Genomic DNA, 22439 nt, shown 5'->3' with positions numbered 1-22439 from the left:
CCCGCCTCAGCCTCCCAAAATACTGGGATTACAGGCGTGAGCCACTGCGCCTGGCCCAATATACCTTTTGAGAAAGATTTTTTTGATGCCACATTTTGGAAAAAGGAACATGACCCAAAGCCCAGCTTGTGCTCCTCGTCTTTTCTCCTCAACTTGCTGAAGCCTGGTTTTTGTGTTTCTCATGCTGCTGAACCTCTTCTTGGTAGGTCACCGGCGCCACCCCCTGGTTGCCAGGTCCAGTGGACACTGGGGAGGCCCCTTCCTGTTGGATTTAGAGCGCTCAGCTTCATTATCCTCTCCTACCTGGAGGACCTTATTCCTCAGATCCCGTGATTCCAGACTCCCCTGATCCCCACACCTGTTATCCTCTGTCATCCTTCTTCCAAGTCCACCTCCTTTTGCCTGCCTGCTCCTGTGTTCCAGGGAGCTGATCCAATCCTGCTTCTCTTCTCACTTGATATACTCTTTCCATGGCCACATTCAGTCTTAGGACCTCTGCTAGTTGCTTGTGCCCTGATCTGTGTTTGCAGCCTGGAGCTGTCCTCTGAGTTCTAGACCCACCCTGTGGGATGTTCAGAATTCTAGGAATACACCCTCTCCCTCCCATTATCCATATGACTTCCTTCTTGCTGGTGGCCTTCCTTGCCTTCTGCCATCCATACTGGAAGCTTGGGATTCATCCTAGAGGCTCCATCTCCTCCCTCTCACACATCATCCCAGCCATCAGGTCTGACTGGTTTTACCTTCTTCACCTCTCTTAAATGTTCTCTTCTTTTCCCATATTTTTATTCCCCTGCCTCATTTTAGACCTTTAGCATCTCTCGTCCATACCACTGCAGTTAACTGGATAATTGGTTCCCTGCCTCCAGTCTTGTTCCTTTCAAGTCCATTTTTCCATTTAACTTCCAGGTATCCAGAGTGATATTTCAAAATGGGAAGTTGGCCATTGTCCCACCTGACACCTACCAGGGGCTCCCATTTTCTGTCATTACTTTCCTGACCCAGCACACAGCACACTGGCTGGTATCGACCCTCGTCTTCTCCCCTGCCAAGTCCCTGCCTCCTAATGATAGCCCAGTAACTGCCCACATCTCTCCCGGTCCACTGTGCGATTCCTCGGTCTAGAGGTTGATACTTAGATCTGGGCCACCTTATGTCCAGGAGACCCAAGAATACCAACCTGTGCCCCTCTCAGTTGGGGTTTTAGGGAGATATATGCTAGGGAAAAAAATGGCCAGTGGAAAACCAAATCATCTCTTTACTGTTGGCTGGGCCTGGGGCCCCAAATCTGATGCAAACCAAGTAACCAGGCTGGGAGACTGTGAAACTATGGCAAGTCTCTAAACCATTCTGTGTCTCAGTTTCCTTACCTGTAAAAATGAGGATAATAATTGCACGTACCATATGAGCTTGATGTGAGACTTATAGGAATTAATCCATGCAAAACATTTAGAGCTATCTGGCATATAGTAGCTATCAGTAAAAATTAGAGAAATCAGTAATATTTATCATGTTAGATCTCATTACTTTGGTTAAGAACTTCTGTGCAACACTGAATAATAGCTATGCTAATGGGCTCCCTGTCTTGTTTTTTGGACCATGATAAGAACTTTGATGTTGCATTCCAAATGAGCTGTGGAGCCAGTTTATATCTTCCTCCCAACTCTAGGCTGGATTCTGTCCTGAAAGCTCTGATTAAATAACTTCCCTTTTGAGATCTAGTGTCATTTGTTGTTTGCGAGTTTCTGTCTATGATTTAGTTTGCCTAGATAACATTTAATCTTTGGAGTTGATATTTAAGTCCCAAAACCTGTATATATTTAGGGAATCACAAATCTGCCTCATTTGCCATGTATTCCTGGGGGTCAGAGGACAGTCAGAGGTCAGTAAATATATGCTTCATAAATGAAATCTTGAGACTTGCAGTTAGGGATGCTATTCCCTACCTCTGCCTGTGTCCTTCCCTGCATCAGCCCCAGGAGAATTCCCTGCTGGCCTGTGGCAGTGCCTCACAGGTCAGAACTTGTTTTGCTTGAAGAGCCTAGATGAGGCTCAGTTCCCACACTTTGGGAGAGAAGATCCCCAGCAGAAAATGGGTGGTAATTGACTTCATATAGAGGTTCTAATGGATGTGAAGGGTAGAAGCAAGACCAATGAAGGAAAGAGTCTGGGAGATTTATCTTCCTAACTCCCCCTGCACTGGTCAGCAGTGAAAAGGCTGCTGGGGGATGTTTTGAACCCCCTGCATCAAAGCAGAGGCTAAGTAGATAGCAGACTGCTAGAGAGGCTACAGAAGAAAGTCTTTCATGGAGGGAAGATTTCGCCAAGTCAAGTGTTTCTTTCAACTCTCAGAATTGAAAATTTTGATAGAAATTGCTAGCTCAAGAGACTGAATCCTCATTTGGGCTCACACACACATTTTTTGCCAATATGCTTACATTTTGGCAACTTTTCTTCTCGTTAGCAATTCTGCCAATGGATGGGCATGGGGAAGAAAGCGAGCTGAACTCACAGGAAGCTGTTTATCTGCTTTGCTGCAAGAAGGGTGAAATTGGCTCTCAAGTCTGAAGCTGGGTTTGCAGGACCATTTCTTATTTTCATCGCCCTTTTTCTTCCTGCCTTTTATGCCCACTGACTGCCCGATGCTGGCAATATAGCATTTTCACTTTTTCTTTTTGATTTGTATGTAAATGCTAACATTCCAAAAATAATATCTTCATGTTATTTGCTTATTTAGAGATGAAAGCATTTGAAAATGGTTTAGCTTTTATTTTAACTTTGCAGTAATCATATATTAGAATTCTAGACCTTTTGTTCTCTGCGCACTAGATAGATGAGAAAGCCCGACAAATTTTGCCTTTGTTCCAGGTCCTTTTGTTTAGTAAATGCTGTGGGCCAAACTCCAAGGATTCCTTACCCAGGGACTTAATGTAGAAACACAGCACATGCGGTGCGGCACAAAGCATCCGGTAACCAGAGTGTGGCCTTGGTGTAGGGCGAAGTCCCTGGGGAATGTTTTAGAGCAGGTTGACTGACCAGATTGAGAGAGGGAGGGAGAGGGAGGGAGAGGGAGGGGGAGGGGGAGGGGGAGGGGGAGAGGGAGCTCTGGAAAGGCTTCCCAGGAAGGCTGGACAAGACTCTGTGATCAGTTGAATAGTAAGAAAGAAGGAAAAATGAAAGATGGCTGTGGGTTTCTGTCTTTGATGACTAACTGATTTTGCAGAAAGATGTGAGTCCAAAGTTTAAGGTGCCTATAGAACATCCCTGTGGAGATACCTGGAAGGCAGTTGAAAATTCCTGTGTATGGTTCAGGAGAGAGGACCCAACAAAACATATAGATCCACCAATCAACAATGCAAAAATGATAATTGGGACCAGAACAGAAGAACAAATCCAGCCCAAGACCAGCACCTTAGAGAGATCCAGCATTTCACATTAAACCTGGATTGCAGATCTTGTAAATAAATCTAGGAGGTTGAGCCCTGGCAGAACCTGGTGACAGTGGCATGACAATGTCACAGCTGTCACAGTGGGATGGGGCAGCCAGCCTAAGGAGATAGGATGGAGGAGCATGAGGTCTGAGCAGGGGGCATCCCCAGGAGTTGTTTGCTAGGAGATGGCAGAAGCCTGAGAAAGAGAGGTGACAGCATGAAGGGAGAAGGGGGAACTGCTCTTGCAGCAGGCGGTGGGCAAGGGGCCTACGAGGAAGGAGTGTGACTTAGGCAGGGGGTGAGGTGGAAGATTTTCCTCTTCATTTTCTTCCTTTCCTCCCTCCTCTCTCTCTCTCTCTCTCTCTTTCTCCCTCTCTCCCTCTCCCCCTCTTCCTTTCCCTCTCTTTCTCTCTCTCCCTTCTGTCCCTCTCCCCGTCTCTTTCCTTGTCTCCCCTCTCTCTCCTCCTCTCTCTTCTTGTCTCCCTTTCTCCCTCTCTCCCTCTCTCCCCCTGTCCTCTCTCTCCCTCTCTTCCCTCTCTCCCTCTCTCCCTTCTCTCTCTCCCTCTTCCTCCTCCTCTCCTTCTCCCTCTCTCCCATCTGCCTCTATGGGGCTACTTCATCACAGTTTTATACTTGAAGGGAAGAAACCTTGAAAGAGGAGCTGATCTAAGCTTCAAAGATGAGAGGACATTTTCTCTCTGTTGGTGCACTTCACATTCAGACATTGCAGTTGCTGGTTTAGCTCTTCTGGGCAACAGTGGTGAAAAGATTGATGAATTGGACAGTGGAGGAGTAAAGGTAGTGTTTGAGGTCTTAATAGATGCAGTGGTACGTTAGCTTCCAGATGCACAGTAAGAATTGTGATAGAATTGTTGATAAAATCAATAAGAAACACTTTGCATGGCATTTTAGGTATCAGTTTATATGATACCATTTAATTCTCACAACAACCTTATGACATGGGCATGAGCCTCATTTCCCTGATGAAAAGATCCATGCTAAGAGAAGTTTCAGGACTTGCCTGAGGTTCCATCATAGGTCAAGGCCAGAGGTGTGGCTGGACTTGCTCCATCTGAGTCCCCTGCACCAGGCAGAGTGCTGCTTCCATTGTGGCTGCTCCATGCTCTTCTGCTCCTCCTGGGCTAGAAGGCTGCTGGGTCATCAAACAGGCCCTGAATGACCCTGGAGCACTGTCGGAATCATACAGCATGTGGATTACAGGGGCATGCTGGCAGCTCCTGACCAGGGGCTGTGGCATGGAATTTGACAGTGATGGAGATGCCCATCCGTCGACCAGCCAAAGGCCAGGTCTCACTGAGCTTCCCCAGGGGCCCAGCAGGTGCTTCTTTCCCCAGCCCCACTATTTATGCAGCCTCCGAAGCATTGTGCAAGAGGAAAGGCAGGACTGCATGACTCGTTTGTGGCCTCATCCCGAAAGTGTCTTGTCTTGACCAGGTGGGCATGAGAAATAGATTTTACCTGCTGGACTTCCCTGATGGTTGACACTTGTGTATGCCAGTGCTTGCAGGCAAATACTGCGGAGGAATTCATTTAGCTAAAGAAGCAAATACAGTGACGCATCACTGAATGGCAGGGATACGTTCTGAGAAATGTGTCCTTAAGCAAATTCTTAGTTGTAGAACATCATAGAATGTACTTACACAGCTGTAGAAGGTATAGCGTACTTGCACTTGCAGGCTGTGTGGTAGAACCTACTGCTGTGACCACTGTTGTGTTTGCAGTCTGTAGTTGAGTGAAATGTCATTATGTGACACCTGACTGTATATCAGGGAACCAATTGTAATGAGAGCTACTTTTAATGTCATTCACTTAAAAAAATGATAGATTAGTGTATTGCTTTTTTTGTCTTCTTCTTGAACAAAAACTAAATTCTGAGGTGGATGAAAAAAGAAAAGAAGTAACAAAAGCAAATTCACTTAGTAGAGACAGCTCCTCCTCTGGGGCACCTTGTCCCGGTCCCTTGGTTGGTCACTGCAGAGGCAGGTCTCAGCATTCCTGCCCTAGTGGTTTTCCCTAGAACATATCACAGGTGATGGGGCCTGCTCATCTCAGGCTTTCAGGGTGTCAGATGCTCACCAGGTGGGAGCAGCAGCGAAGGCAGACATCTGGGGCTCACCTTTCCTAACCCCTCCTCATTGTCCCCGCAGCCTTTCCGCTGTGCCCATTGCCATTACTCCTGCAACATATCTGGCTCTCTGAAGCGGCACTACAACAGGAAGCACCCTAATGAGGAGTATGCCAACGTGGGCACCGGGGAGCTGGCAGCGGAGGTGCTCATCCAGCAAGGTAGGCGAGGGGCCAGCGAGCTGGGGCCCTGCCCGCTTCCTTTTAGGCCAAGTCCCCCATTGGGAAGAGCTGCTGACATCCTGCAGTTCAGTTCTGCTACATAAATGTGCCAGTGATGTTCATTCTTCATCGTCCTAATTGTTGTCATCATCGTCCTTATCATTGTTTGTCAGCATTACTTCTTGCCTGGTTAATATGACAACAACCTTAGTGGAAGTCTAAAATAGCAGAAGTAAAAATTCACACACAAATTCTACTACCCTCCACAATGCTGATTTGTCAGCATTGCCTTCCATTCTTTGTCCGTGCGTAAAGTTCGCAGAGATGAAAGTTCGGTTGTCTTTCTTTACTTCACATTAGCAGGAACATGTTGTTTTTCTTTGATATACTGTCTTCCTAATTATGATTTCCAAGGGCTTTTTGTAATTCAATGTTAAATGGAAACACTAACAATTCTGTTATCGAACATTGTGGGATTTTTAGATTTTTCTTTTTTGCAGTTATAACTAATGCTATTGTAGGCATATTTATAGGTGAACTTTTTTGGAATATCTAAAAATATTTATTAAGTAAGCTTGTTACTTATTCATCCTGAAAAGAAAAAAAAGACATTCTAGAACATTTAAACTAATGAGAATTGATGAAAACCTCTCTTCATTTTAAATTATTAAAACTTTGTGGGGTTTTTTGTTGTTTTATTTCAATAAATAATCACATTCCCACTGGAGAGGGCTTAGCTTATGTGCTGTTACCATACAGTGAATTCTGTTGTATTTATATCTACACTTCAATACTTCAGCTAAAAAATGATTGCAGCACACAGTTAGCTGCTCTTCTTTCCTAAGTCCTGTGACTATTTGAAGCTGAAGACAGATTTAGAAATCTGCCCCCAGTAAACAGAGATGTGGAATTGTAGACTGCTGCAGCTGGGGATGCTTGGAGTTTTGTTTCAGCGTGAAGCTCCGCTCGCTGTAATAGCCATGAAATGCATCTTAATGTAAAACAAATGAATTGACTATACCCTTCAGCACTTTCAGTGACAGGGCTGATGCACGGAAATAGATGAGCAGCACAGAAAACTCAGGATAATTTTAAAGCCATCCATCTGGGGTAACGGCGAGCATGTGCCTTCGTTTTCTTAATGGCAGTTTTATGGAGCTGGGGAGCAGGATATGCAGTGGGAAGGTCTCTGGCTCCAATCTGCATTCTTCTTTCTTAGCTGTGCCATCTTGGGCATGTTACCCAAGCTCTCCCTCTTAGGCTCTTCACCTGTAGAATGGAGTTCACAGCAGCCATCTTCCACGATGGTGGAGAGGATTAAATGGAAAAACACGTGCATGCAGTACATGTTCAGTCCTTGCTTTTGTATATTTTTTTCGGAACATCTAGGAATTGTGGAGCCATCGCATTATTTTTTATGACCCACGCCAATGCCCCATGTCCAGGAATCACAGAGGGGAGAATAGATTGGCTTACAGCCCCAGTAAATAACTAGAGTTGCAGGTTAGGGATTCTTTTTCGCATCCTTCACACTCTTGGGTTGGATTGCCAGGAAATAGATGTTTACTGTGGCTGTTGGGACAGGTGTGAGGATCTGAGTGATGATACCATCATTGCCCTATGCTTCCAAACTTTCATCATTGCCTTGGAAAAAATGTGCTGAGGTTGAACTGTTTCATGCCCTAAGTTTCCAGTTAACTTCCTAAGACTCTCTGTAATCAGTCGGCATTCCCTGACAGGAGCGGGGTTTTATATTTTATCTTTGCAGGGTTGCTTTTGGTTCCTCTTTCAGAGATACACACACAGACACACACAGATATATATTCACAGTTGTTCCTAGGCATCCATGGGGGATTGGTTCCAGGACCCTCCGCAGATAACCACAATCCACAGATGGCTCAAGTCCATTATATAAAATGGCGTGGTGTTTGGATAAAGGCTACACACATCCTCCTATGTACTTTAAATCATCTCCAGATTACTTATAATAACTAATACAATGTAAATGCCATGTGAATAGTTATTATACTTTGGTTTTAATTTGTATTATTTTTTTATTTTTATATTGTTATTTTTTATTTATTTTTCCTGAATATTTTCAATCTGCAGTTGGTTGAACCCATGGATATGGAGGGCCATCTGTACATATATATATAGATGTAGCATTTGCATATGCATATGTACGTGTATGCATATGTATGTATATATGTTTATCCCCCCATTCCCTTCAAGGGACATGTTGAAGAAGGAGACAACCCAGCATCTCTTGACTCTTAAGAGGCCATGCGCCGTTGTGCTCTGGCAGGAGAACAGTCTCTGAAATCAGATGGATGGTGGAGTATGAACACAGTTTTGAAATCTCAGAAGCACAAAGTTCACATTGTTCTTATGTCTAGGAGAGAGGAGCAGAATGAAAGGAGAACATGAAACCAGATTAAATTACTGTTTGGAAATGTTGAATTGTTTGGAACCACTGGAATTTTTCATTTTCTTTTGATTAATTTCAAGTAACTCTCTCCATCCCTATTTGGTTTTATTTTCCTCTTCTACTCCCCCAAAAATATCTTCATGAGACTTTATAATTTCATGTTTTGATATAGAGGAAGATGTCTTAAAATAACATCATAAAAAACACAAATAACATGTATTTTTCTCAAAAGGATTTTACAGTCTCCTTTAAACCATGTGCAGGGATTCCTTGTGTATCAGCTGTGTTAAACAGTGTCACACTGTGACATGTGCAAAGCTATTGATTCCTAGGAAAGACCCTCCTGCCTGCTATGCCACAGGGATCCTGGGATTCCAGGGAGGGGTTCAGTGCACAGTGCTGCAGAGGAGGTCAGGAAAATGGCCTAAAAGGAGCTGAGGGTTCCCACATCAGATACTTCTGTTCTGTGTGGGTTTCTAAGGGAAGGTACTATGGCATTCTCCATGGAGTTTGGGTGGTTTACAGTGTGTTCCCAAAGCTTGCTGGGAAGAGTGGCTGCTAAGGCTCTTCCCAAGTAGGAGGGAGGGGAAACATGACTTGTAGAATTTGCCAATTTCTGTAGTGTAAATACTTCTACCATGGCCAAGTTTAAGCTGCTCACATGATGTCCCTCAACGTGGAGCGGGGACATGTGCACATTTGGCTTATGAGCTTGCGTATCTTGGTTCCCACGTACCTTTCACCCTGAGGGCACTGGGTGACATTGCCAGGTGTCTGCCACCAGGGCCTGTCTGGATGTACTGATCCCTCAGTACTCTGATACTTTGTAGTAATTAAGGTAGTACTGAGCACTATGTAAATATTATACTCCTGGCTTATATTTTATGTGCATCTGATGCTTTGAAGACAGATTCCTCTTAGCCATCACTTCTTCATTAATATGGATTTGAAGCATTCTCCCACACAAATGCACGTTTCATGCTGTTTAAGGAAGAAATACTTGTATTGCTTCAGTGGGCCTGCCCCTTTCCTCCCCTTAAAATACACCTGATTAAGCTAGCTCAAGAACTGGTTCAGTAAATCACAGGCTGTGAGAGGCATCAGATACTTTGGTGCTAAGCTTTATGAATCTTTTGCTCACTCCTAGAGCATGTAGCAGGGTGAGGATGGGGTTTAGTGGGCTTTCCAGTGGCTTCCAAGCCCTCCCTCAAGTCTCTCTAGGTTATTGGAATGACCACACGCTTGGGAGTCAGATGGACCTGGGCCGGGATTTTTGATCACTGTGGACCTTGGACCAGGTACTTAACCTCTCTGAATCTTGGTTTATATACCACCAAAGAGGAAGGCTCATAACCTACCTCCACAGCAGTTGCAAAGATTAGATATCATTCTCTAAGATTCCCAGAGAGTGCCGACAGTAAGTTCTTGATGAATGGCTCAAATCCACTATTACATTTATCTGCATATTTCTACTTTGAGCATGTATCTCTCAAGCGCCTACAGTGTGCCTGGAACCATGCTAGGCACTGGGACTTGGTGTCAAACAAGGCAGTCGTTGGTGGTATTATTGTTATTCCTGCCCAGGTTGCGGACCAGGGCTAGGCAGCTCCCGCCAAAGCTCTGTATTCTAATTACAGCAGAAGGAATACATCCCCTTCAGCTGTGCCCTGGAGCGGAGTTAGCTGCTTCTCCCAGAGGGCTGTGTCCCCCAGTTTTAGAGTCATTGAAGTGTAAGGGTGGGTAACTGGAGGAAGAGGAAGCAATAAGAGGAGAAGTGTCAAGGAGACGTCTTAGTATTTGGCGTCTGCTAGAATCTTTATGTTACTTTGAAGTGCTATATTAGAAAAATGTAAATATGTATGCATGTGTACCTTGGATGTATATTTGTGTATTAGTTTTTTACACCAGATTCAGGGAAAATAGCATAGCAGGAAATCCAGAAACTGTGAGGTAACCCACAGGTGATGTATTTGATTTTTAGACATCTTAATTTTAAAATTGTTTTTATTAGGGCCCAGATTCAATAAGTTCTTGGCACATGCTTCTAGTGATGTGATATAATGCTGTGTTATTGATTGTTATTTTATGTGTTAATTTATCTCTCACAATGGCCCTGTGAGCTTGGCATAATCGTTCCTATTGTGAAATAAAGAAATGAAGGGAGTGCTAATGACTGACCTCAGGTCACACCAAGCAAGCAAGTGGCCAAGCCAAACTCAGTCTCCTGATTCAACGTCTGTGCCTTTGCCACTCCCATGTTTGATGTCCCCTAAAGTTTGTAGATGTTTGCACTTATTAGAGAGGAGGAGGAGAAAGAGGAGGAGAAGGAAGAGGCGTGGTCATCTCTTAAGCAATTGGGCCACATTTGCTGGTAGTTGGTGGAAAAGTCACACACATGGATACTGTTTATTTTCTCTTATTTCTTCATCCCCGAGGCTAATTGCTAATCTGACCCAAGACTGACTCTGAAACCTATTTCTTTGCAAGTCCTTCCCTATGGTAATCCAGAGTGTCTCAGATCCCAAGATTTGGGGGCGTATGTGAGGGGAGGGGGCGGATGGGAAGACCTTGCTTATGCTCCTCTGCCAAGTGTTTCTTATTGGGTTTGGGATATCAGCTTGGCTGATAATAAAATGCACTTTGTTTCCTCTGCTGCATTTTCCCTTTTGCTCTTTTTCTTGAGGATCCTGTGGGAAGAGGGGCTGGGATTTAAATAGGATTCAGATAGTCCCAGGTAGGATCTAATATTGCATGCCATGTCACCAGGAACCCTCCACCTCAGTGCTTGCATGTGACTTCCGGTTAATTTCTACCCTTAAGCACTTCCTAGCTCTGAACTGGGGCCCTGGCTGGGCCTAGGACAGACACTGAGTTAAGAGACAGTAGGAAGTGCAAATGTCAGCAAAATTCTATTCCATATTCACTTGTTAATCTAATACAATTTTTCCATATCCACTTTCCTTGGATAATTTACCTGCTTTTGTTCCTTGTCCTTATCCGTATTCGTATCTGTCAGTGCCTGTGTTAGTTGCCTGTAGCTACTGTAACAAGTCACCACACACTTCGTGGTGGATTAAAACAACACAGTTTTATTATCTTAGTTCTGAAGGCCAGAAGTCCAAAATGAGTCTCACCAAGTTAACATCAAAGTGCTAACAAATATTCCTTCTGGAGACTCTAGGGGAGAATCCCTTTCCTGGCCTTTTCTAGCCTCTAGAGGCTACCTACATTCCTTGCCCTGTGACCCCCTTCTCCACCTTCAAAGCCAGAAATGGCCAGTGGAGCTTCTCTCAGATTGCATCTCTGTGCCCTCTCCTGCCTTCTTCTTATAATGACCCCTGTGATAGCATTAGGCCCACTCGGAGAAACCAGAATGACCTCCCCCTCTCAAGATCCTGAACTGAATCACATCGTTTTTGCCATGTAAGGTAACATGTTCACATGTTCTGGGGATTAGGATGTGGCTGTCTTCAGGGACTCATTATTCTGCCTACTGTACTCAGTGCCTTTTTTAAGAATAGGAACTTTATTGCAGTGGCTCATCTCAAAAAAAAATAAAAAATAAAAAAAAAGAATATGAACTTTAGCATCTTCACCTTCATAGAAGAGAAAACCAAGACCCAAGAGTTTCAGGAAGCTTTGGCTTACCTGAGCAAGTGCCAGATTCAGGTCTTGTGACTGCCCAACCCAGTGTTGTATGCCATTCTGGGAGTTATATTATTGAAAATGAAATTGAATTTTCAATAACGTCAAGCACCACAAAGGAGCAGAGATATTTTAATGCCTGAAACTGCTCCAGAATATATTGCATTCCAAAAAGAGCAAAGCGTACCATCATCAGTTTTTTTAAATTTCTCTTGAAATTCTATATTTTCACCTGATTAATCAGTCCGTGGGAGGAAATTGTGATTTGAGGACTCCTGGTTTTTATGGTGTGCACTTAATATCAGTGCCATGAGTAAATTCACCAAGTCTTCCGTTGACCTTTACTGTGCATTGCCTAAGAATTTAATGAATCCAAATAGAAATTAATTTCTCTCAGCTTTGATGTCAATTAACTGGCATAGTTATACATTCAGTCTAGATTACATATTTTCATTTGTTGTTCTTTAATTAAAGTCACTGTGGCAAAGGCTGAAGTTTTAATTAATGTGGGGGCATTATCATATTAAGTTTAATTTAAATATAATATAAGAATGTTTTCCTCTCTGAATTAGTTTCCACTAAAGAATATCCCAGAAGGAACCTTTAATTTCATTTTAAAGCCTAAGTTTAACCTTTAAAAGTTTGCCTTTGTTCATCATCACATATTAAGTCTTTATAGGAGAAGCAACATCAGCTTAACAACAACAACAACAACAAAAAGTGGAGGTCTTCATAACTTGGAGGTTTTTAAAAGGTGATTGAAGGAAAAGACATGATTTTATCTGATTTAAAAAAGCAATAACAAAGGAAGTTAAAAATGAAGTTTATCCTCTGGGCAAGAAAGAAGCTCATTTGTTTTTGCCTAAAAAACAGCACAGTATGTTTGACTTTCAGAAAATAAACATCCATCTGAGCTGTCTTTTCAGCAGAATATTCTAGAATTTAAGAATTTAGTGTTTGTTGCCAGTCTTTCTGCTGACAGCGGGCGCCTTCTGCCTCGGTGCCCTCCTCTGCCTCCACCAGGGTTGGGGCCAGGAAGCAGTGGGCGGAGGTGCTGGGGCTGCATGTGGCTGGCAGGTTGGCCTCTGTACTAGTGACTCTTTGGAAAATTACCCACAACCTCAGCTGATAGAACAGAAACCCCAATAATAGAACACTGCTCTGTCTTGATTCCACTGACACGGAATTGATTTGGAGATTGAGCGCATCAAAACTGCATCTGGGAGATGACTAAATGTGGGCCACATCCCCGTGAGGTTTATCTGGTATAATTTGTCCAGACAACCTTGATATCAGGACAGAATTCCTCCATTTCTTCCCGAGTACCCTAATGAGCAATACATAAACATAGCAGCCTGAGATACACTCAGTGGTCAGCTCAGCTCTTTCGTTGCCTAAGTATAAGCATCTTAGTGGTTTGTTCAGCTCACATGTATATTGGGGAGGTGGGATACTTTGGGACATCACTGGACCTGCATATCAGAGATATAGAGGGGACTGTTTGTGAGGCTTTAGGACTCCACACAGAGGATGAGAAGGCTGTACAGGGATTTGAGTTGGAGAGGTGCTTGGTAGAAGAACCAGGAGTGAGTGGTGTCACAGAAGCCCTGAAAAACTAGATCTTGACTGGAGAATGTGGTCAGCATCGCCATATAATGCAGAGAAGTCACAGTGGACAATAGCAAAGGCTGGGGTTAAGGATGTGTGTTAGACTTAGATTCAGTTCTTAACTTTGCCAGTGTGACCTCAGTAGGGTTACTTCACCATCCCAAGCCTCTGTATAAAACAAGCTAAGCATGCCTGTGTCATTGCGCTGTTGTGAAGAAACCATGACTTGATGTATGAGGTGCCTGATGCATGGTAACTGCCCAGTTAGTGGAAGACATATGTTGTTATTGCTATTAGTAGTGTTGGTGGTGGTACTAGTGGTAAGATAAAGAGTGAAGAGTATTCATTGGATTAACCAATGAGGATGTTAGCTGATCCTGACATGTGCAATACCAGGAGAGGACTGAGTGCAGGAAGCAGCATGCTATGGTGTGAGGCAGGGCTTCTCAACCTCAGTACTGCTTACAATCGGGGCCAGGCCAGTGTTTGTTTTGGGGGCTGTCCTGTGTGTTGTAGGGTATGTAGCAGCATCCCTGGCCTCTACCCACTGGATGCCCTGGGCACCCCCCAGTTGTGCCAACCAAAAGTTCCTCCATACATTGCCTGTCTGGGAGGAAAATTGTCCATAGTTTAGAACCACTGGCCTAAGTAATGAAGAGAGACAGGGAAGTGAAGAATTCATATTATTTTTCTAGTTTAAATTTATAATCTTAATTTCAGTAATTATTTTGAATAGGGCAGTTACTCTCCCATGGAATAAAATTTGAAAGATGGAGGAGATGTGAATGCTGGCCTCCTCCACTTGCATCCCAGCCTGTTGTCCACCCCAGAGCATCACTAACAGCACCTCTTTCTAGTGAGTTCTTGGAAGTGGAGACTCCACAGAATCCTGGCTGTGAAGGAAAGGGGAAGATAGACCGGCACCAAGGCAGGCCCTCGGATAACACTGAACACACTTATTTGGTGAGGGGACAGATGTGTACAGAGGGGAGGTGCAGAAGTCCAAGGAGAGCAGGGGGATGGTTGGAGAAGGAGCTCAAGAAAGAAGAGGACTTGCCAAGACCCAGAGTCAGTGACGCAAGACAGAGTGATTGAGGAGAAGCTAGATGCCGGGTGCTGGGACTTGAACAGAGAATAAGTGGATGATGCCCCTGAAGTTCCCGCTCTAGGAAGGTGCCACTTTAGAAGGGAGAAAGGACAATGAAGATGTGTAGGAAAGATAATAATACAATGTCAGACTGAAAGTAGGGAAATCCATTAGAGAGTTTTGATGGCTCTATGTGTTTGGTGGGGCTGCTTTCTCTAGGAGTCCCAGGAAGGCCTTTCTGAAGAGGTGGTGCTTAAAGATGAGGAGAAGGTCAAATGGAGATCTTGGGGAAGAGTTTGTGAACCAGGAGGCACAGCAGTTATCCCAGGAAGGGAATGAACTTGGTCAGTGCAAAAGACAGAGAAGGGAGAGAATGAAGGCGAGAGGGAGGGAGGCGGGACTTGCCAGCCACAGGGAGGAGTCAGGATTTTATTGTAGGTGAGACAGAAGACCATTGGAAGGGTTTATACCTCTGAGACTGTGATCTAGTCTGTGTTTTCGAAAGACCATGTTGTGTGCTGGGTGGGAAGTGGACCAACAGTGGAGGATAGACAATAGCTGCTGAGAGAGCACTTAGGAGCTGGTTGCTCCCATCTATGCAGAAGACTGCAGTGGCCTGGCCAGGAGGCGTGGGAGACACTGGGATGCACAGTCCTGTCTACCTGTGGGGAGGCATCCCAGGCTGGAGTTTGGGGCAGGAGTCTGGGCTGGAGCTACAAATAGGAAAGTCATTAGTTTGTGGATAATATATGTCCTGGGCAGGAGGAAGAGCCTGAAGAATGTCTGGATACCGAGCCTAGGCGACACGGGACAGAGTAGGAGGGCCCAGCCACCCAGCCGTGGGACAGGGAAAGCATAAAGGTGTGGAGGCTGGAGGAACAGAGTGTTCAGTGGAGTGGTACTTGCACCCATGCAGGGTTTCAAAACTTGAGGGGCTTTTAAAAAACTTCAGGATGATGGAGGAATCTTAAACTGCTTGTTGTAGAAAGGGGCATTGAGTCTAACAGGGCTGAGGATCAGTGCTCTAGAAAGAGGAGAAAGGGGTCTTGGAAGGCGGAGGGGAACTCTCACCCACAACTGGTGTCAGGCCAGGCATAGGCAGGAGCAGAGGGACAGAATTGTATAGTACAGGAAGGTCTGGAAAGTTCTTACCTGATATTCTCATTGTGAAGCAGGAGACAAGAACTGAGGCTGAGATTGAAAGAGGAAGTCGACAATAGTATAGGGGACTTAATGAGATGGATGGAGAATTGCAGTTCTTCTTCTGGATAATTGGACAGAGTTGACTAGGGAAATACTTGAGGTTGGAAGTGTGGCCATAAGAATAAATAATGGCTTTGTGATTTGTCTCAGCATCCCAGGGTCAGAGCAAGGAGGGCTGGGGCTTGGATTGATGCTGGGCTGTGGATTTGCCAGGCAGGTTTGAGAGAAAGAGAAGTAGCTGAGGACGTGGAGGGCTTTGCCAATAAAAGTTGTAAGTTTTGGGCTCTGGAGTGTGCTCTTTGGAGAGGGGAGCATAGTTAGGGGTAGGCTGAGAGAAAATGGGAGGGGATGCAAACTGAAGATTCTCCAGAAATTGAAGAATAATGATAGTGAAAGTAAGAGATGGCCCGAGGGCCGATAGTCGTCAGAGTGGGATGCTTGGATTTAGCCCCATGGGTGGTGCTGAATAATCATATGGGTGACTGAATGAAACTCCACAGATTGTGAAATGGTGGGGAAGGTTATTGGCCTTAAAGTCAATGGATGTTACAGTATTTAAGTGGAGAGGGCCAGGTGCCAAATTGTCTGATGGATCTGGCACTGTGGGTAGCAGGGACAGGATGGGGAAATGCTCCTGCTCTACCGTGGAGGTGGCATTGCTGCCCTGCCCGGGCCTGGCATCCTCCTTACCTGGGGCTCAAGAGCATGAGCAGCCTCCACTTGGGAGGACTTAGCGGAGAGTGTGGTCAAAGAAAGACAGGGAAAGAACACGCTCTCTGGCAAGGTGAATGTTGGGGATTTTGTTGGCCAGAAGGTCTGAGATTCCAGGATGCTGCGGAAGCACTGGCATAGAGGAGAGACCATGTGGACCACAGAGAAGACATGGCAGAGAAGGATGGGAAGCCAGAGTTTGCGACTAGGGAATGACCTGCTGGAATCGGGTAGCTCACAGTTCCAGACAGCTGTGGTGTTGGGGATGTTGGTGAGAGGGCTCATTCCCCTGGCCCAGCTCAGGGTGGCGGCCCGGTGGTGCCAGCATCAGCCTGGCTCAGGCCAGTAGACTAGAGGCCTGGCACCAGCACTACCCTTAGTCTCCTGAGACTGGAGTTTGCTTCTGAAGGCACAATCTGTTCAAAGAGACTTTTGTACAGGCTGCAGTTTAGTTGCTGCTTCTGTATAATTGTAGAAAGATATTCTTTTGTGTGACTCTCCAGTTTTTGTTTTTTTTTTTAAACCTAGAGTTGTACATTCTCTTAATTAAAGCATCTAAACACTTCCTGGAACGTGTGCAAAATTTAATCAGTTCAATAAATAATGACGTTTCAGGATGTGACCAGCTTTTAAATTTGTTCTTTACTGGGTAATTTGCATGGGAATTTATGCTAATGACTTAGCTTCTGACGTGAAGGAGACTGAGAATCAGGCTCCTGGTCTTAGTGTTTTGGGACAAAGGAGATTAAGAAAAGCAGACACTCCCTTTCCATTGTTCTCGTTTTCTAAATTATTTGTTACTTACAAGTGAAAAATGAAAGAATGATTTAAGCCACTTACCCACTGGCCAAGGGAATTATGTTACTTATCTTAGTTCTCTCTGCCATTTAAACTGTTGGGCACATATTGGGCTGTCTACAAAAGCTTATTCAACAAATAAAAAAAGTACATGAAGTTTTAAAATCTCTGCCTTGAAAAAACATATACTGTTGCTATTGTGTTCCAATACTAAGGTAAGCTTGAATTGAATACAAGTGCTGGAGACAAAATAATACTTACTAGATTTGAAGCATTTGAACAGGAGGAGGAACTGTTGCATTTTTCTGTATTACGAACACATTTTTTTTTTAACCTCTGTCTGTGCTTTCAGGTGGTTTGAAGTGTCCTGTTTGCAGCTTTGTATATGGCACCAAATGGGAGTTCAATAGGCACTTGAAGAACAAACATGGCTTGAAGGTGGTGGAAATTGATGGAGACCCCAAGTGGGAGGTAATTTTTTTAAGTATGGTATTAATCTTGACATTTCAAAACACAGATGACAAACCAGGCAAACCCAAATACTGGGCACGGACAATCATTCCTCAGAACATTAGATTTTCTGTTTGGGGAACTTCTGAAACGTTTTCAAATGATGTCTCGCGTCTGAGGGGTATAACTGGGTTAAGATCTGGGCCAAGCCTGTGAATTCTTATTCTGGGTTGAATTTAGACTCTCTTGTGAAAGTTTGTGTTGACCTCCTTGACACTTTTACTTATGTTATTCACAAATCCAGAGTTTCAGATGTTGCATCTGAAAGAATGGAAGGCAAGGATTCTATTGTATTGCCATCCTCACCGAGAGAATTGGAAAAGGCTCTGTTTCCTGAATCTAGGCCCTGCTCTCTTTCTGTGGAGAGCTCATGCTCCTAGCTGCTTTTTTGTTTTTTTTCCCTTAGGAGTTGGAACCAGTCACCTGCTGAAAACACGCCTTTATTATAAGAGCCAGTAACCATCTCTCTTTTCAGATACTAGGTATTGCCACCACGGACTAATTGCAGTTATCTAAGGCAGGGTTTCTCAGACTCAGCACTGTCGACATTTTGATCTGGACAATCCTTTGTTGTGGAGGGCTGTCCTGTGCCCTACAGGCTGTTTAGCTGCATTTCTGGCCTCTTCCCACTAAGTTACTAGTAGCATCATCCCCCCAACCCCATCCCCTGTTGAGATACCCAAAAATGTCTCCAGACATTACCAATGTTCAGTGTTTCCTGGGGGTAAAAATCACCCTCACTTTATCTAAGGACTTTACAGAGCATCCAGTGGTTGGGAGAAGGCTTTTTAAACAGAATCCACAACATATGAAAAAAATAATACATCATGACATTGTGGGGATTATTCTGGAATGCAAGGCACAAGTGGTCTCTTGGAAAGGTAACATGTTAACATCCATTATAATATGAAACAGTCACCTTCATAGATGCAGAAAAGACATTTGACAAAATTCAGTGTTCACTGATGAAAAAGAGTAAATAGAATTTGATGGATACATCCTTAAGATAAAAAAAAAAATGTGTGTCATCCAAACACCAGCATCTTACTTCACTGGGAAACACTAGAGTGTTTCCACAGAAGTCAGAAGCAGACAAGAGTGCCCGGTGGCTCTGCTGTTCTTTAACAGCATGTGGAGGCATCAGTGAGTGTGGCTAGACCAGACAAAGCAGATGGAGACCTAGAACTGGAAGGAAAGAAATAAAAAGTATCTCTCTATACATATAATAGGATGATATTTTCAGAAAATCCAAAAGAATGAATGAAAAGCTAATACAAACAAAAAGCAGCAGATTAAAATATCAACATACAACAGTTAGTTGTAGATACATGTACACCTGCACATATGAATGTGTATACACATATGTGTAAATATAAGAATATGTATATGCTAATATATGCACACATATATACATACATAAAATCAGTTACAATGGAAACAAAACCCCCATTTGATACAGGAAACAAAACCAAGATAAATCTAGGCATAAACCTTATAAAAAATGCCCAAAATGTAAATATGGGAGACTATAAAACACTTCTGAAAGAGACATAAACCTAGAGTTGAGGAAATTAATGGGAATACTCAATATCATAAAGATGTTAATTCCCCTGAAAGTAATTTATACAATAATTTATCAAGGTAATATGATCTATTACATATTACATGTAATCTAAATACCATTAGATTTTTTCTGGAGCTAATCAAGTTGATTTCTAAAGTTCATTTGGAAGAGTAAGTACAATTAACTAGGAAACCCTTGGGAATAACAACCATAAGAGGAGAATCCTACCAGATATTAAAACATATTATGAAATCTCTCTAAGTGTGCATGAACAGATGGTTTAATGGAATCGAACAGAAAATTTAGAATAGACCCAATGACATATGGAAATTTAGTATATGATAAAGATGGTGTCTCAAGTTGGTAGGAGAAAGGTGGGCTTTTTGATAAGTGACACAGGATAGCTAAATAGCTATCTGAAAAAAGATAAAATTGAATCTGTTTACTATAACATATAAAGTTATATGAGAAAAATTTCAAAAGGATCAGATATTTAAATATAGAAACAGTAATATTTTACAAATACTAGAAGAAAGCATAATTGAATTCATCTATAAACTGAGAGCTCATAAATAAGTAAAAAGATAAATGATAAAAATATTTTTTTATATAGAAAAAATTAATATCTTTATAAAAGGCCTATAAAAATAGTGATGAGAAAGATCAACCCTTTAGAAAAATGGACAAGAGATAAGAAAGGTTCAGGGAAAAGAAAATGTAAATAACATCGAATATCTGAAAACATGATCAGCCTCACATGTAAGGAAAGAAATTTTCATTAAAATTAGCCCTGGATGGAATTTCTCACCTACTAGCTTGACAGAGATCCAAAAGTTTGACATTATCTCTGCTGGAAAAGCTGTGGGGAAATCTGCTCTCATACGTTGCTGGTGGGAATGTAAAATGGCCCAGCCTTATGAAGAGAATAGCAATATGTAACAAAATTACATTTGCATTTCTTTATCCATTAATTCAATAATCCAACTGTTAGGAAACCATCCCAAAGTTTCACTGGGACACTGTGTCCATACTGACATAAATAAATGATTGAATAAATAAATGTGGGAGAAGGAACTATGCATTTCCTCCAAAAAATAATGATTAATAAATGTAGAAGGAATGAGGGAAATAGAAAGTTACTATTAGAATACCACAGGAACAATCATAGCAGATGAGATCCGTTAATGAGTGCTAAAGTTAGTAGGCAAAAGTTTAAGGAGAAATGAGATATTCACATAAACTCTGAATATCTCCTTCCAAATATTTGTTAATTACAGAAGGCAAAAATAGGAACTTTATGGTGGAGGTACCACCTTCACCAAGCAGTAGAGGTTGGCATCATCAGTAATGAAGCATGCTGACATCATGTGTGACCTGATACCATGTGATCAGATGAGAAGACACTTCATCTCATGGTATTCTTAACTGAAATCTTCAACCTCAGCCTAATTATCAGAAACCATTGGACAAATCCAAATGATGGGTGTGGTCAAATACCTCATCTGTACTCCTCAAAAGCGTCAAGGTCATGAAAGATATGGAAAGTCTGAGGAACTTTCACAGCCAGGAGGAGACAACGGAGGCATGATGGCTAAATGTGCTGTGGGATGCAGAATTGGATCCTGAAACAGAGAAAGAACATTAATGAGAAAACCGGAGGAATCTGGAGAAAGCCTATTGTTTAATTAGTAATAGTATCCAAATGTTAATTTCTTGTTTTGATCATTGCGCCATGATTACGAAAGATGTTAAGATTAGGGGAGGCTGGGTAAAGGGTCTCCAGGAACTCTCTGTTGCAGCACTTTACATCTTTGGAAGTCTTGTGTAAGTCTAAAATTATTTTCAAAGTAAAGCAGTTACAAAAGATAAGAAATGGGGTCATTATATGTAGGGAAAGGAGACAGAGAGCAAGATGGAAGGGATGGGGAGAAGCTAAATTTCTCAAAATACCCTGCTGTGTAGATTTGACTCTGATTATATATAAAATATTGTAAAAGTATTTTATATAATAATAACAAAATTAAACTTAAAAAGCAAGTCTTAAACATTGTGAGTAAAATGAAATAAATTATTCTAACTGTATATCAAATTGGTGACTACGTGGAGAGGAACAATTTCAAGAGACTTCAAAACAGTTATTTGATTGGGATGTAACCTAAGGGCAAAACAAACTGCAAAAACTGCAGTTATCAAGTATTGTTGGTAGTAAGGACAATATTGTGATTCTGAGGCTGTTACTAGTGTTTAATAATGACAGCGAAACACATAAAATATGTTTAATTCTGTAAGTTTATAATGATATTTGGAAAAAACAATTCAGTCACCTTTGTAGAATGTTAGAGAATCAACTCTTTATTTTGAAAATTGGTAAATTAAGACCAAGAATCAAGCCATTGTTCTACCTTTATTTTTTAGTTTTTTTTGAGAGATAGGGTCTGGCTACCCAGGCCGGCATGCCATGGAGCCTCCCTTCATAGCTCACTGCAACCTGGAACTCCTGGGCTCAAGCAATTCTCTTACCTCAGGAGACAGTAGATAGTCCTATCTACTATCTTCCAAGTAGATAGGATTATAGGCAAGCACTATAATTTTTTGAAATTTTTTAAAAATAGAGACAGGATTTCTCTTTGTTGCCTAGGCTGGTCTCAAACTCCTGGCCTCAAGCAATCTTCCCACCCTGGCTTCCCGAAGTGCTGGGAATACAAGTGTGAGCCACCATACCCAGCCCTATTCTACCTTTAAAAACAAAACAAAACAGAACAAAACAAAACCCTATGTAAACATAACCAAACATTCGATGAGGGGAAGTTTTTTCTTTTGAAATATTTCAACTAACACATGAAAAATTAGAATATTACCATGTTGCAACCTTCTAATGATGTCATGGGTTTAGCAATGATCATCAGTTACTGCTAACATTACATAAAAGAGACCACCATCCAAAGCGTGTCTCCTGAAAGAACTGCCCAATATAACCCATGAAGCATTCTTTGCAAAAAGGAATCTGAATCTAATTAAGCTTTTGTATTTGTATCCAGTGACCAATTTACAGAAAACACCATGGATGGAGGAACATTGGTCAATTCCATGGTGATGCAATCAGCGAAACTTAGATTGCTGACAGCTCTCTAAGGCAAACACCCTGCT

At 42.6% G+C, this 22439-nt stretch overlaps 1 protein-coding gene across 13 annotated transcripts in view, besides 1 other annotated feature; it reads left to right on the top strand.

The window, feature by feature from the left end:
• ZFAT (zinc finger and AT-hook domain containing) overlaps positions 1 to 22439 on the top strand; it is a 354552-nt gene that overhangs the window by 293768 nt on the left and 38345 nt on the right. For all 13 annotated transcript variants that reach the window (NR_110323.2, XR_007060749.1, XM_047422062.1 and 10 more), the window contains 2 exons: positions 5600 to 5738; positions 17571 to 17689. Coding sequence is in view for 11 of the 13 variants with exons in the window: in XM_047422062.1 (XP_047278018.1) it covers positions 5600 to 5738; positions 17571 to 17689 (258 nt within the window). In the remaining 2 variants the exon portion in view is untranslated. Of the gene's footprint in view, positions 1 to 5599; positions 5739 to 17570; positions 17690 to 22439 lie in introns of those variants that run through there.
• Positions 16041 to 16608: an enhancer, noted in NCBI's record as "H3K27ac-H3K4me1 hESC enhancer chr8:135534207-135534774 (GRCh37/hg19 assembly coordinates)". NCBI's record gives its function as "activates a minimal SCP1, AML or CMV promoter by ChIP-STARR-seq in naive H9 embryonic stem cells {active_cell/tissue: H9 hESC(naive)}" and the evidence as "EXISTENCE:reporter gene assay evidence [ECO:0000049][PMID:30033119]".

Source organism: Homo sapiens, chromosome 8 (assembly GCF_000001405.40).
Source record: "Homo sapiens chromosome 8, GRCh38.p14 Primary Assembly".
NCBI classification, from domain to species: domain Eukaryota; kingdom Metazoa; phylum Chordata; class Mammalia; order Primates; family Hominidae; genus Homo; species Homo sapiens.
Note: the sequence above shows the minus strand (reverse complement) of the source record. Positions and strands in the feature narration are given on the sequence as shown.